This window comes from Homo sapiens, chromosome 13 (assembly GCF_000001405.40).
Source record: "Homo sapiens chromosome 13, GRCh38.p14 Primary Assembly".
Lineage (NCBI taxonomy): Eukaryota > Metazoa > Chordata > Mammalia > Primates > Hominidae > Homo > Homo sapiens.
The window spans coordinates 73162723-73178849 of NC_000013.11; the positions used below are offsets into that span (position 1 = coordinate 73162723).

At 41.7% G+C, this 16127-nt stretch overlaps 1 pseudogene, besides 1 other annotated feature; it reads right to left on the reverse strand.

Moving 5' to 3' along the window:
- RNU7-89P (RNA, U7 small nuclear 89 pseudogene) lies at nt 5367-5428 on the reverse strand (annotated as a pseudogene).
- Nucleotides 7125-7696: an enhancer, noted in NCBI's record as "OCT4-NANOG hESC enhancer chr13:73743984-73744555 (GRCh37/hg19 assembly coordinates)". NCBI's record gives its function as "activates a minimal SCP1, AML or CMV promoter by ChIP-STARR-seq in primed H9 embryonic stem cells {active_cell/tissue: H9 hESC(primed)}" and the evidence as "EXISTENCE:reporter gene assay evidence [ECO:0000049][PMID:30033119]".

Consider the following 16127-nt stretch of genomic DNA (forward strand, 5'->3'; position numbering starts at 1 on the left):
TAGCCGAGTGTAGTGGTGGGCGCCTGTAATCCCAGCTACTCCAGAGGCTGAGGCAGGATAATTGCTTGCACCTGGGAGACGGAGGTTGCATTGAACCAAGATTGTGCCATTGCACGATCTTGTTGCCTGGGCAACAAGAGGAAGACTCCGTCTCAAAAAACAAACAAACAAACAAACAACAGCAACAAAAACGAAAAAACCTATAAATTAAAAAAAAAAAAAAAAGAGAAAGGAAACTAAAGCAGTTAAGGTTATGGGCTGTGGACCAGATTGTTCTAAGCTTAAGTTCTGGCTCTGTCACTTCCTGACTAAGTGACTTCATCAAGTTATATAACCTTTCTAAGCCCCAGTTTCTTCATGAGTTAAGTGAGAATAATAATACCTTATTCATTAGGTTGCTGTGAGGAGCTATATTTATGAGTCACTGAGCATAGTCTCTGGGTCATAGTAAGTGTTCAATATTATCACCATCACCACCATCATCCTCACCATCACCATCATCATCATCATCCTCATCATTGTTATGGTCATCATCAAAACAGGAGGTGTTTGAAGTATAGGCATTAGAACTGATGTACAGCACAAATAAATACCAGAGCCTGAGGTATGAGAGTAGGTTATGTGGAAAAGCAAGACAATGAACAAGGAAATATATATTCTCCACAGTGATGGTGAGCTGCCTTTACTGAAAGGACTTCCTACTACCAGAGTATGAGTGACTCACATGCAGGGGGTGTATTTTAAGCCTTACTTTAAGGCTTAAACTTACCTTCTAGAAGGTGGCATACAGTATAGGACACCACAGTATGGCTATGGATGATGGAGGAGAGAAATGCTGGTAATGGGGCTCCAAGGAGTGGGGTGGGATTCTTTTGGTCATGCATCTTCTGCTAGGAGTCCAACAGGTCTATGAGAACCATTGCTCACAGAAGCCATAGAGCATTAGCTTCTCCCTTTGAACTTCTGTGACCTGCTTTGATTGTGTTTGTGTGTTCTATGAGTCACTGGGGATGCCCATTTGCAGTGCCCATTTATATAGCAGTAGCTTTAGATAGGGTGGGTATTTGGACTGACTGGCATGTAGCATAGTTCACAGGCCTGTGTGAATTTACGTTCATCAGTGGCTGGAATTTAAGTTCTTGTAAAGATGCAAAATTTAAGTAGTTTTGACCCTCCTCTAGGGCTGGACAACATCTGACTACCAAAAAGATGGTATTTATCTGTATCAACAATTGTGAGTAGTTAGTTATATGGCTTCTGTCCCTCCCAGAAAAGACCTGATATGAATGGTAAATCAAACACATATGCTAGACACTGTTACTTATGTTAACTAACTTAATTTGCAAAACAAGCCTTGTGAGGTAGGTGGAATGATTCTCCCTATTTTTACAGATGAGGTAACTGAGATCAAGAAACTTACAAGTTCATAAAGATGTCTGTTGTGTTGGAAAGGAGATGTGGCTAGGTCTAAACTTGTGCCTCTTGACTTATGCTAAGGCCTGTGAGTTCAGATAGGCTAGAAAAATTGGTCTGTGGTTGTTCTTAGCTTGTTTCAGTCTAACTTTTGCATCAAGAAGTGGAGTTTAATGCAGCATGGAACCAGACTCTTCCTTCTATGATAGAGACAGGAAAAGAAGACGAACCCCTGTCTGGGCTTTTCCTGACACGCATTAGCCAATGACTTGTGCAAGGCTCCTCTTTGCCCTAAAAACACACACACGACAAAGTAACTGGCAGATGGGTGGATCTCCCCTCCAGTTTGTAGGGTGTCAATTTTTAGAAATTCAACCTTGACGGAAAGATTTGAAGCGAGGGGATATTGTTGAGCAAAAAGTTAGGAAGATTGAACCAGATCTTGTGAAGGATAATTGGAGAATGGTGGAGGAGGAAATCCCCAGCATTGGCAAAGATATGGAAGCAGAAAAGAAACTTACAGGGCATCAACAATGAGCAATTCAATTTGACTGGAATATAAGGCGTTCAAAGTGAAAGTTGTGGAAGTAAGAGGGGTGGGTATATAGAATATGGAAGACTTTAAATACCAGGCCCAGGAGTATGAATTCTACTCAGTAGGCAATGAGGAGCCTATTAAATAAAATCTAAGCAAAAATTGGAGCCCTGAAGGAGAGGACAACTTTTATTTTATTTTATTTTTTGAGATAGAGTCCCACTCTGTCACCCAGGCTGGAGTGCATTGGCACAATCGTGGCTCACTGTAGACTCGATCTCCTGGGCTCAAGCAATCCTCCCACCTCAGCTTCCCAAGTACCTGGGATCACAGGGTGCACCACTATGCCTGGCTAATTTTTATTTTTTATTTTTGTAAAGATGAGGTATCCCTGTGTTGCCCAGGCTAGTTTTGAACTCCTGGGCTTAAGTGATCCTCTCTCCTTGGCCTCCCAAAGTGCTGGGATTATAGGTGTGAGCTACTGTGACTGGCTGAGGACAACTTTTATTTCACTTACACACACCTCCATATAAAGTCAACTGGAGCTATTTATAACTGCATGACTTGTGATTGCCCACTGAAGACTGTGGCAGGGTATTTTATCCCCATTATTTTCTTACTGACCACCGCTATGTATCTGAAAGTAAGACCAAGGCAAAGAACTGTTAGGTACAACATAAATGAGTGGAGTTTATGTTTGCCAACTCTGAGGTCAGTTGGTTCATTTAACAAACATTTTTGAGCACCTTTTTAGGTACAGTAGATATAGCCATTAATGAATACAGTTTTAGGGGAAACGTTGGTTCTTGACTTTTATCTACTGTATATCTTTTTTCTTATTTTTTTTTTGAGACAGAGTCTCACTCTTGTCACCCAGGCTGGAATGCAGTGGTGCGATCTTGGCTTACTGCAGCCTTCGCCTCCGGGGTTCAAGTGATTCTCCTGCCTCAGCCTCCTGAGTAGTTGGGACTACAGGCGTGTACCACCACGCCTGGCTAATTTTTGTATTTTTAGTAGAGATGGGGTTTCGCCATGTTAGCCAGGCTGGTCTCGACCTCAAGTGATCTACCTGCCTTGGCCTCCCAAAGCGCTGGGATTACAGGCGTGAGCCACCTCTCCTAGCCTTATTTTTAGATACAGGGTCTCAGTCTGTTGCCCAGGCTGGAGTGCAGTGGCGTGCTTATAGCTCACTACAGCTTCAAACTCCTGGGTTCCAGTGAGTCTCCTTTCTCAGTCTCCCAAGTAGCTTGGACTATAAGTGTGTGCCACTGCACTCAACTTCTATTGCATCGCTTATTGCCTCAATGTGTAACTTTTTGGATTTGATGCCTTTATAGTGCTCCTTATAAAGCCCCTGGTCTGAGCCGTCATTATCTCTTGCCTAACTCTTTTCATAACCTCTTAACTGGGCTTGTGGCTTTTATTCTTGAGACTATCCACACACAGAAGCCAGAACAATGTCATGAGAGCAGAAATCTGATCTCATCCCTCATCTTCATAAAACCCTTCCATGGCTTCCATTACACTTAGATTAAAATCCAAATGTCTCTGCACCCCCACAATGTCCTGTGTGTTCCCAGCCCCGTCAAGACCTCTGATCTTACTTCCTACCTCTCTCCTCGATTCACAATGCTCCATCCTCACTGGCTCCTGGATATTCCTTGAACACTCAGTGGATTCCTGCCCCTGGACCTTTACTCTTGCTGTTTCCTCTACTTGGAATGTTCTCCTACCAGATTCCAGCATGGCTGTGCCCTCCCCCACCCAATGCCACTCAGATCCCTGCTCAAATGTCAGCTCTTCCAGAGCCACCCTCCAACTAGCTGTCTTGACAGCACTCTACTACCTGAAATTAAACTTTTAATGATTTATTTGCTTTTTGTTTTCTTCTTGAGACAGAGTCTTGCTCTATTGCCCAGGCTGGAGTGCAGTGGTGTGATCGTGGCTCACTGTAGCCTCAACCTCCTGGGTTCCGGTGATCCTCTCACCTCAGCCTCCTGAGTAGCTGGAACTACAGGCACATGCCGCCATGTCTAGCTAGTGGTTTTTTTTTTTTTTTTTTTTTTGGTAGAGAAGGGATTTTGCTGTGTTGCATAGGCTGGTGTCTTGTTTATTTTGTGTATTGCTCATTAAAATGTAAGTTCTGTAAAGGGTATTTTGCCTACTTGTTCATTGTGCTATCTCCAGCACCTAGAACACACCTGGACAATAGCACGCAATAGGTATCCCTGAATGAATGATGACTATTACTGGGACTTCCTTTACAACTTGGAAAGAAAGTGGTTTCATTATTCAAAAAAATGTAGTATCTACCTATACTTGTGTTCCTCATTTATCGCATCTCCACATTTGCCCCTTATGACTTTTGCAATTCCCAAATAAATGACATCCATTGTAGGCATATTAATGGCAGTCTGCAAGTAGCAAAGTTCATTTCTGATTTGAATTCTTTTGGCTGCTGTGAATAGTTTTTCTCTGGTTGTTAGTAATTAAAACAAACAAGCAGAAAGACTTATATTATTCTATCTCATTGCCAAATTGGATATTGCTCAACTCAAAATTGAATGTACACACACCCATAAAACTAGCCAAACGGGCTATTACAATTACATAAAGTTCCTTGTGTTCATTAGCAGTGTTGCCTTTCATGGGTTTATCCTGTTTGGCATATACATCAAAGTAACAGTCATAAAGACTTCTACAAAAATTTGGAGCATGTAGATGTGGAAAAATTTTTAAGATTTTTTTTGTTTTTTTTTTCCAGCTACATTGCAACAAAAGCATACCTTGTTATCATGATAAAAAGCTTAAGGCACGACAGAGAAAAAATTCAGTATTTTGTCAAAGCTTGGTAATCTAAGCCCACGGCCAGAGTCACCTAAAAATGGCAGATATGATTCAGTTTTGTATTCTGCATTTTGGGAATTAGTGTCAGAATACCAGCCCTGATCTCTTTAGTGAATGATTCATTTACTAACGTGATTAACAATTCTGAGAGCCAGCCATGTTGGCCACTAATATCAGATTTTTAGAAGCTGCCTAGGTTTAATGGAATTGTGGGTATGTTGAATTGGGGTGGGAGGTCCTAAATCTGCTGTTCTGATTTGTAGTGGTTTTATTTGAACCCAGAGAATGAGCTTCTTATGATTTCCAAAGCAGCATATTTTCTCATGGGTGGTTCCTATTCATGAGAAAAATAAAATAATAACAGATAGTGGTTTGGGGAGTGTGTTGAGTAAAAAAAAAAAAAAAAAAAAAAAAAAAAAATTAGCTTCAGTTCATTGATCCAAAGGCATAGCTCTGTACCTTTTTGAATATAAGGAATTCAGAAAAATGGGGGCAGAAGGTCAGATTGAGTTTGTTATATTATTATTTGTTTACATGTCTGTGTCTTTCTTTTGTGTGTGTGGCAGGTGGGGGAGGGTTTCCAGTAAATATTGGAAAACCTGCTAGACAAATTTTAAAAGACCTGTAATAAGTATGTGTTTGTTTCTTTAAAAAAACTTTTTTTTTTTTTTTTTTTTTTTTTTTTTTTTTGTCCCCTGTAGAGACAGGATCTCACTATGTTTCCCAGGCTGGTCTTGAACTCCTGGCCTCAAGCAATCCACCTGTCTCAGCCTCCCAAAGTGCTGGGATTAGAGCATGTGTGTGTGTGTCTAAGAGTAGACTATGAGCTTCTTGGTGGCAGAACCTTATTCATGTTTCTTTCCCATTGTCTGGCATGGCACTGTGTGTAGCTTAGTAACAATGATGGTTGTGATGATGCTGATAATGGCCTCTATTACTCAGCTTCCTGTATGCCAGGCACTATGCTAACTGCTTTGCATACATTACCTTATTTAATTCTCATAACAATCCAGGTGGAAAGTAACAAACAGTATATTATGTCCATATGTTGTGAGGAAACTGAGGCTTAAAGATATTCATGGACATGACCATGGTCACACAGCTAGTGAAGTGTTGGACCTGGAATCTAAAACCATTTCTGTTCTTTGTCCCAAGCCCATGTTGTTTATTACTATGCTCTATATTTGTTGCCTGAATTAATGACAGAGTGGTTAACCAAGGTCCCCTGTCCTACCCAGGCCCTGTGACTCAGTAAAGAGTTAAAATGTGACAAACAGAACTGGACAATGGTGATGTCCTAGAATGAACCAGTTTTATTCACCAGTAGAAGAGAAACTTTCAGTGTGGGTAATAAGAGATTGAGGGACGACCTGTGTCAATGGATAGCTCCAAATGAGAGGAGTGCAGTGGGTTTAAGAGAAAGAGGGGAGAAAAGAAAGTACCATAAAAGGGAAACTTAAACAAAGAGCAAAGTAGAAAAAAAAATTCTTTTGAGAGGAGGTCATTTTTCATTCCCAGAAACTTCCAAAGTGATGCTTTTAACCCCACATCTGGTTCAGATTCCTGCTCGAATGCTCAGAGGTAGAACAACAAAGCAAGTGGAAAGGTTTGGGCACGCCTCTGTCCGTGGAGCTGCCCTCCCTGCGCCCTTCCCCCTGAGGAATATCTGCTTTGGAAGCAAATGATGGAAAGTTTTGTCCAGGTTGCCTTCCCTCACTTTTGCGCGTGGGTGTGAGTTTGTGTACCCGATTCTACTGTGAGGAGTTCAGGTTGCTTTACCTGCTGTTGCGTCTTAACAGGGTGAGACATGTGCCTGTGGTTACAGGCCTGTCCCAGGAGAACTTGTCCTACTGGATATGGAAATCATTCAAGCAAAGTGGGAGGCTAGGTTGTCTTATTTTCGTGCCGATACTTGGGTTGCTTTGCTGAACTGAAGCATGAGAGAGAGATGGGATGAGAAGCAAACCATTTGCATGTATCATTCCTCCTGCAGTTCTGGAGCTGTTAGCCAAAAGTGCCATTTTCACAGACAAAAGGCAGGAAAAAGAAATGTCCCCCATCAAAAAAAATCACAGGTTTTCCCAGTTTTTACTGTCTTCCTAGCTCTGGGTCTCACAAATCTAATGGCTCTCAAGCTTTTCAAAGTGATTCTTTTCAGATTTTCTTCTTTCATCCTTGAGTCTCTATTAGAACTGTCCTCTGACTCCATTTGACTGATAACTTTTGATAAACTGACTGGAGCCTCCGTATTGGCTTGCTACAGATTTGCTATAAGAAAAGGTAACTCGCTTTCATAAGGCCAATATCAGCATCCACTAATGCAAGGCGTTTTTCCTCTAATGTGATTACATAAGAATTAATGATGGGTAAACACCAATGTGAAGAGATTTAATTTGGATAAACATTATGAAGCTTGTCTGCTTAATCAGGGTTTATCTCATCTTTTCTGTTTTTTTTCTTTCTTTTCTTTGTGCTGCAAATTTTCCAAGAACAGGGACCAGTGTACTATTCTGCCTACTTCCTTGAACAGGGCAGACAGGAACATTGTGAGACCCAGCATTCTTGTGATACTTTAATAACTTCCACTTCCGGGGAAACAAAAGAGGATACAGATGCATGCAAATGCAAAACCGAGCAAGATACCAGCTGAGCTGACTTAACACCCTCCCTCCCACCTCCTAGCCATGAAGGTGCTAGTGGGGAGAAGCAGTTCTTTGGAGGAGTTGAGGTATTTCTCCTCTCAATCTTGGGTTGCTCTTGACTAGCATGTAGCAGAGGACCTGTGACAGCTTTTTGCTTTGAGAGCTTTTACCCAGAGGATAGCCTTATTTACCACCCCTTCCCCTCAACTCACAGGCTTTTCTTTCTTTCTTTTTTTTTTTTTAGACAGAGTCTTGCTCTGTCGCCCAGGCTGGAGTGTAGTGGCATGATCCCGGTTCACTGCAACCTTCGCCTCCCAGGTTCAAGTGATTCTCCTGCCTCAGCCTCCCGAGTAGCTGGGACTATAGGTGCGTGCCACCACGCCTGGCAAATTTTTGTATTTTTAGTAGAGACGGGGTTTTACCATGTCGGCCAGGCTGGTCTCAAACTCCTGACCTCAGGTCATCCACCCACCTTGGCCTCCCAAAGTGCTGGGATTACAGGTGAGAGCCACCGCACTGGGCCTCACAGGCCTTTCTGAATCCAGTTTTTATTTCCTGAAATGCATACGGGTCAAAAATAATCCATATCAAATGCATATTAATTTATAGGTATCTTTTTCAAGGAGGATGATTAGCAAGGAAATAATCATCGTTTCCACTCTCCCAATGTGATTATTTGTTTCTATGACAGAATCTAATTTCTCACATCTCTCCTTGTTTACTGATTGACAATCTATAGTCCTAGACTTCATTTCTGCATTTTACGTTTCTGCACCTGTGAAAAGGGCTTGAAGGCGAAAGATGAGCATCTTTAGAGACAATGGGCTTGGGGGAAAGAAAATGGCTTGGTACAGGTTGTTATTTTTTGTTCGCTAACTGGAGTGAATGCTTTTTAAACAGTATCTTCCCCATTGGGACAATTGGAAGAACAGTGACATTCATTTTATAGTTTTTGCTTGTTGGGTACTTATTCCTTTCGAAAAGAAAGGAAATTCCATACTCCAGGAGTCCATCTGTTGTTACATTTCATGAGAAATAAATGCACTGGAAAATATAGCTAAACACACTTGGTTCACATTTTCTCCACCTTTGAACTGATACCAGTCATAAAACTCCATCTTGTATAGACAATCTGTTAAAATAAGTTACTAAGAAACCCAAACAGGTATAAAGGTCGCTCTCAGTGTGAATGGTTTTTTTTTTTTTTTTTTTTTTTTTTGCAGTGGTTATGACCAACCCAAAACTCACTCTGAGTTGGCTTTTATAGTCGATATTTTAAACTGTAAACCATGTTATATGACTGTAGAGCCGCACCCAGTAAAGTCAATTTTCCTGTTTTGGAACTCTCGTGCGATGCAGCACATAATCCCTGTTCATTTGTCATGTTCTCACCTTGTTCAGGGCCTCAGAGTTTATGAGCAGGTTACTCCACTGCATTTTAAACATGTCATCTCTCCCAAGGTGTCTTTTAAGAAATACTTATGCAATCAAAAGGAAGCCAAATATGTCCTTAGTATAAGAGACAGAGGATGTTGTTAATGAACTGGAAGGAATTCTACTTCTGGAAAGTCTGAGGAAAAGTTATCAAATTATAGGAATGGCATCTAGATTTGAGGGCAAAAACAGGTACATTAAAGGGCAGAGACTGCTCTTTTCTCTCTCTACCATTTTCTAAGCATCTATTATTTACCAGGCATTTTGTGAAGCATTTCACTTACATGTTCTCGTTGAATACTTGGTGAGTCTCTGTGAAATATCAAGAAAATGGCTTAAGAAAGGTGAATGGCTTGCTCAAGTTCACACAGCGAGGAATTTGCTGACAGAATTCCAGAGTGTGGTTTAGCCCCAACACGGCCTTCATCCCGGGCCACCTACTGGATGGAGACCTCCTTGCCGTGGCTTCCTACATCCCTGCTCCCATGACTTTACTGTTGCAAGGGTAGAAGAACAGATGTATCTTTTTGGATTTGGCCTGACTTTTCAAAGATAAGATAAAGAAGAGCTGGTAATAAGGCTGAGAATTGACACGTTCTTGGTTGGCTCAGCTGAACTGAAGAGCTTCTGTTCTCATCTGGATAGACAGGAAATAATGTGTGACATACAGACAGCTTGTTTTTCTCTAAATTTGAGCAATGGTGAGTCATTACTTTTATTAAAGTTAGAGATGATCCTTTCTTTTTCTGTGCAGGAAAATCTATTGTTTTTCACACAACCCACTCCTACTTTTAAATAAATCAGTTAAATTGCCTATATTTTAAATAAAACTTTTTCAAACTCCTTTACCTACCAGCCTAGAGGCAGGAATATTTCTTTTCTCTTTCAGCCTTGCCTAAGGAAAAATGCTTCTTTTTTTTTTTTTTTTTTTTTTGAGACAGAGTTTCACTCTGTATCCCAGGCTGGAGTGCAGTGGAACGATCTTGGCTCACTGCAACCTCTGCCTCCCGGGTTCAAGCGGTTCTCCTGCCTTAGACTTCGGAGTAGCTAAGATTACAAGTGTGCACCACAGGTTTCACCATGTTGGCCAGGCTGGTCTTGAACTCCTGACCGCAAGTGATCCACCCGCCTCAGCCTCCCGAAGTGCTGGGATTACAGGCATGAGCCACCGCACCTGGCCTTCTGCAGTTTTCTAGGCCTGGTTAGAGAGGACAAAATAAATCCTGGGAAGACCTCCAGCTGGCCACTAGCAAGAGGTGGGAGGAGGATACACTTCCTTCCTTTTTTTCCTACTTTCCGCATCTTAATGCCAGGCATGAGCCTTTCTTAGCACTGCTGTTGCTAAGAGAATAAGTAGCTGAATAAAGTGGCACATGTTATAAGGACAAAATAGCTAAAATGAAGACCCTAAAGAGCAGCCTCAGTCTCAACACTATTGACATTTGGGCTGGATATTTTTTGTTGTGGGGGATAGGAACTGTTCTGTGCATTGTAGGATGTTTAGCAGCACCCTGACTGAGTACCCACTAGATGACAGTAGCAACACCACCCCCTAATCCTACCAGTACCCCGAGTTGGGAAAACCAAAAACATCTCCAGACATTGATTGCCCAGTGCCCCGTGGGGGGCAAAATCATCTCCAGTTGAGACCTACCACTTTATAGTAGATAGCATGACCTAGTAACATGCATGGTTTCTTTATGCCTGGAAACTTGCTGGGCCAGGGCGAAGATTTATGACCTGAGAAAAGGCAACCACAGCAGGTGTGGAGCTTGAAAAAGGATGGTGTCTCTGCCCTGAAAGGACCTCAGGGTCAGAAATATGTCTGTTCATCTTTGAATCCTCTCCCCAGGGCCTAGCACAGTTCCTCAAATGTAGGAAATGGTTGATAAATGTTTGTTGAATAAATGGGATGTTTGCTTAGAGCCCCCTGAGTCTATCTCCTGTGCTCAGAGAAAAAAATCTTACGGACAACAGCTATTTATTTGTAGCTGTACCCACTTATTGGCTTATTGTGTTCATTTGAGGGCCTCTTGAATATTGCAGAAGTAACCAAGGATACCAGGATGATCACATGCAGCAAACATATGGGGAAAAGAATAGAACAACAAATGTCACAAGGCCTGTTTTTCAGGTTTATTGCCAGAGAGTGAAGGGTTTTGAAGAGAGAGTGCATAGAAGGAATAGGACAGGAGCCGTCCTTATACTGAAGATAATTTATAGTCCTCATCTGTGAAAATTATTCACTGGACAACCTCTCTTGCCCTTGAACTTTGCATCTTGTCTTAACCAGGGGTTTATGTATCTTCCTTCCCGGGGAGCAGGTCAGCATTGCTGAGTCCTGAATTGTGGAACTTCTGCTTCCTTAGAAAGACTTGTGAGGAGTAAGGGGAGTGAGGAGCAAGGGGAGACATTGGTGAGTCCAGGATGGGAGGTGAGCTTGGTATGGCAAAGACATAAGCATCCAATCTCTGTCTGACCAAGTGATGACAAAGTAAAGGATGAAAGCAGCCAGCTCAGTTTTCCTCCCCTCAGGACTCTTTTATTTCCCTTTTCCTTCATATCTTTTGTTTTTGAGTAACACAGTATTTTGTATTCAACATAGTCTTCATGACTAACCACTAGTCTTAAAACTTCCAGGGTGAGGATTTGAGGGAACTTCTCTTTGGAAGACCTTTATACCAAAGGCCTCTGATTGAGTATCCTCCACTGTAGGCAGCTTTTACTGATTCCTCCAGAGTGGGCCAGGGCAGGCACACCTTTTCATCTCTTCCATGATACTCCGTCAAATCAGTATCTCCTGTATTCCAGACTCATGTACTCAAGTGCCTAGTTGATATTTCTACTTGGGTATCTTGGAGACATCTCAAACATAACATATCCCAAGATGAATGACTTCCTGCTTCTTCTCAAAACCTGCCTGTTTAAAGGCAATTCTATCCTTCCAGTGGCTCAGATCAAAACCCTGGAGTCATTCTTGACTCCTCCTTTTGTCTCACACCCCATTATCTCTCCCCAACAAATCTTGTTGGCTTTACTTTCAAAGCATATCTAGGATCTTAGCATTTCTCATCATCTGCATTGTTGCCATTCTGGTCTGAGCTACCAGAAATTCAACACAGTAGCCAGGGTGACATTTTGAAATTGTAGGTCAGATCTTGTTACTCTTTTGCCTCCAATATCTCCTTATCTCATAGTAAAAAACAAATTCTTCACATGGTTTTACAACAATCCCCTGACTCCCTTAACTTTCATACTTATCTCCTGCCATTCTCTTCATCAGTTCCTCAGCAGCTCACCTCCTTCTTGCTGTATCTTAAGCACATGCCTATTCCTGTGCCTAAACTTCTTCCCCCAGATATCCATGTTGTGACATTTGGCTCTTTCAAATCTTTGCTGAAATATCACCTGGCAATGAGATCTCCCCTGATTATGCTACTTAAAACTACAATCTGTTTTCCATATCTCCCTCTTATCCTTTAGTAGTTTTAAAAAATTGCACTTATTAACCTCTAATACTATATCATTAATTTATTCACTACATTAAAAGAAATCTCTCTTGCTAGAATGGAAACTTCACAAGGGCAGGGATCTTTGTTTATCCCAAGCACCTAAAAGAATGTCTTGTACGTAGTGTGTGTGCATAAATATTTGAGGATGAACCAATATATCTTTCTAAGCACGTATTAGCTATTTACTCAGTCTGTCTTCCTGCCTAGACTGTAAGCCCCGTGGGAAAAATGGTACACAGAATGCATTGCATTGCAGTGGTTAATGCTATTCTTTTCCTTGAAGTGTATTCCTCAAATTGTATGAGTTTCATGCTCCACAAAAACTGCCCTGCCCCTGATTTACTATGAGAATTAGTACGAAAATGAAAAAGATAATACATTTTAAAACTTAGAAAAGCATCTGGCACTTTAAGGATAAAGACTGTGTTCTATTTGACATGCCTCCCCTCTCCCATTGTATTTAGCTCAGTGGCTGGAACAGAGTAGAAGGCAAAAAAAAATCTTTGCTAATAAACACATCAACTGAATGAATGAATGAATGAATGAATGAATATATTTCCGTGTGCTAATTCGACAATCTGTTTAAGTTTTGACTTACTTTTTTTTTTTTTTTTAAACAGATTTTCCCTCTTGTCACCCAGGCTGGAGGGCGGTGGCATGATCTCGGCTCACTGCAACCTCCACCTCCTGGGTTCAAGCAATTCTCCTGCCTCAGCCTCCTGAGTAGCTGGGATTACAGGCATGTGCCACAACACCCGGCTAATTTTTTGTATTTTTAGTAGAGGTGGGGTTTCACCGTGTTACCCAGGATTGTCTCGATCTCCTGATCTCGTGATCTGCCCACCTCAGCCTCCCAAAGTGCTGGGATTATAGGCATGAGCCACCGCGCCTGGCCAAGTTTTGACTTCTAAGTGCCACGTTTCTCCCTTTTTAAAATTAGGTATCTATGGGCTGGGTGTGGTGGCTCACGCCTATAATACCAGCACTTTGGGAGGCCGAGGCAGGTGGATCACTTGAGGTCAGGAGTTCGAGACCAGCTGGCTAACATGGTAAAACTCCATTTCTACTAAAAATACAAAAATTAGTTGAGCATGGTGGTATGTGCCTGTAGTCCCAGAACCTTGGGAGGCTGAGGCAGGAGAATTGCTTGAACCGGGGAGGCCACAGAGGCTGCAGTAAGCCGAGATTGTGCCACTGTGTTCCAGCCTGGGTGACAGAGCAAGACTCCATCTCAAAAATAAAACAAAATAAAATAAAATAAGGTATCTACATTTAGGGGTTTGTCAAAAGATTCATATAAAAAATATCCACGTATGGATTTGCTTGCATTTTATTATGTACCTATCAAGATTGTATCAGAAAGACAGCCGGGTACGTGGGGCATGCCTGTAGTCCCAGCTACTTGGAAGGCTGAAGCAGGAGGATTGCTTGAGCCCAGGAGTTAGAATCTGTACCGTGTAGTGATTGTGTCTGTGAATAGCCACTGCACTCCAGCCTGGGTAACAGAGTGAGATTCTGCCTCAAAAAATAAAAAATAATAAAAAAAATTGTATCAGAAATCAGACTGACATGGTATTCATTACATTTTTAATCTGTGAATAAGACTGAAGTTCAGAATCGTCTGTTATTGTCTCAGCGGTCCTTAACATTATGTGGCGCTAAAATACATGCTGAACATAAACACATGATGAATGGCGATGAGGTTGAAATGAGCCTTTTTAAAAATGGCCCCTTTCTTTGTTATGTGCCTATGTTAACGTTATTTGCATTTTTCTAATGTTCCTGCCTTCAGCCTTATCTTTCCCATTGTAATGATTTTTTGTACCTATGATGTTTATATTTAACACACTAGCTAGATAGATATATTTTAAATATCTACCTGTGATGGTTGTTTTTTTACAGAGGAAAGCAAACTCTCTGAAGTAAATTTCATAGAAAGAAGTAGTTGTTGCCTAGGCTGGTCTTGAACCCCTGGGCTCAAGTGATTCTCTGGCCTTGACCTTCCAAAGTGCTGGATTTACAGGCATGAACCACTCCACCGGTCCTGGCTAGTTTCTTCTGTAAAATGAAACATGTCATGGCTTGATTGAATTTTAGATCAGCATGTGAAAACTCAGTGACCTGACAGACAACTGGGGAATGCTTCAAAAAAACAGCTCTTGTTAATAATGTTCACAGTGATGTCCTTTAAAGGAAATATGTCACTTGTATTATACACTGAAAGTGCTTTCAAATGAAAGTCAGTTTTGCATGTAACCTTAAGGAGAACACAACTTAATTCATGACAAATAGCTCAGTCAGTAGGAGGATGGAGCAGGTGAGGTCACATACGGGCCAGTCAACTTTATTCTATGGCCTGGCATGACAGCCCTGATCCAGGCCAACCAGGAAAATGAATATGATCAGTGGAAATCCATCACTCTACTAGAAAAACAAATCAAATACAAGCTTTAGTGAAGTTTAGTAAAAGTTTAGTAAAGTTTTTTCTTTTTTCTTTTTTTTTGAGATGGAGTCTTGCTCTGTTGCCAGGCTGGAGTGCAGTGGCATGATCTCGGCTCACTGCAACCTCCGCCTCCCGGTTCAAGTGATTCTCCTGCCTCAGCCTCCTGAGCAGCTGGGATTACAGGTGTCCACCACCATGCCTGGCTAATTTTTGTATTTTTAGTAGAGAAGGGGTTACACCAAGTTGGCCAGGATGGTCTCGAACTTTTGACCTTGTGATCAGCCCTCCTCAGCCTCCCAAAGTGTTGGGATTACAGGCGTGAGCCACCACGCTCGGCCTTGGTTTAGTTTTATCAAGGTCAGATAAGTAGATTTAATGGATTGTAACTACAAGCGTGATAAATTTCAACAAAATGTCATGGGCATGATTCTTAAACTTCAGGTACTATACCATTTCAGGGTACAAGGCTAGTAGTATTGACAAACTAAGGTTAGAATTGTTCTAAAATCGGCCCCTCCCTTGTTCTAGGCCTAACTGGTCAGTCTTTTGGGTGGAGGCCAAAGTGTCTGTGTGTGTGTGTGTGTGTGTGTGTGTTTGTGTATGCACATATGTATGTGTGTAGTTCCTGAAGTCTCCTATTAATGGTATCAGGAAATAGCAAATATGAGAATTGCATCCAATAAAGAATTTCACGGTTGTGCTAATGTAGTATTGTTGTGGGTTGAATTTGTGTCCCTCAAAAAGTTATGTTTATTGGCAGTTTCCAGACAGGGGGAATAAAGTATGTTTAATTTTTAACTTCTAGTACCTGTGACTGTGACCTTACTTGGAAATAAGGCTGAGAAGATGTAATCAAGTTAAAATGAGATCATATTGGAGGCCAGGCACAGTGGCTCACCCCTGTAATCCTAGCACTTTGTGAGGCTGAGGTGGGAGGATTGCTTAAGCTCAGGAGTCCAAGACTAGTCTGGACAACATAGTGAGAACCTGTCTCTAAAAAATATGAAAAAAGCAAAAACAAAAACAAAAACAAAAACCCAGAGATTGTACTGGAGTACAGTCAGCCCTAAATCCAATATGACTGGTGTCCTTTTGAGGAAAAGAGACCTTAGGCACACATAGAGAGAATATCATGTGATGAGGTGTATGCATCCACCTCTGCCACACACACACAGGAGGCAGCCACTTGATTACGGATAATGCTACAGCTGTAAGCCAAGGAATACCATGGTTTGCTGGTAACCACCAGAAATTAGGAAGAGGCCAAAGAAGATTCTCCCCTGGAGCCTTCGTAGAAAGCA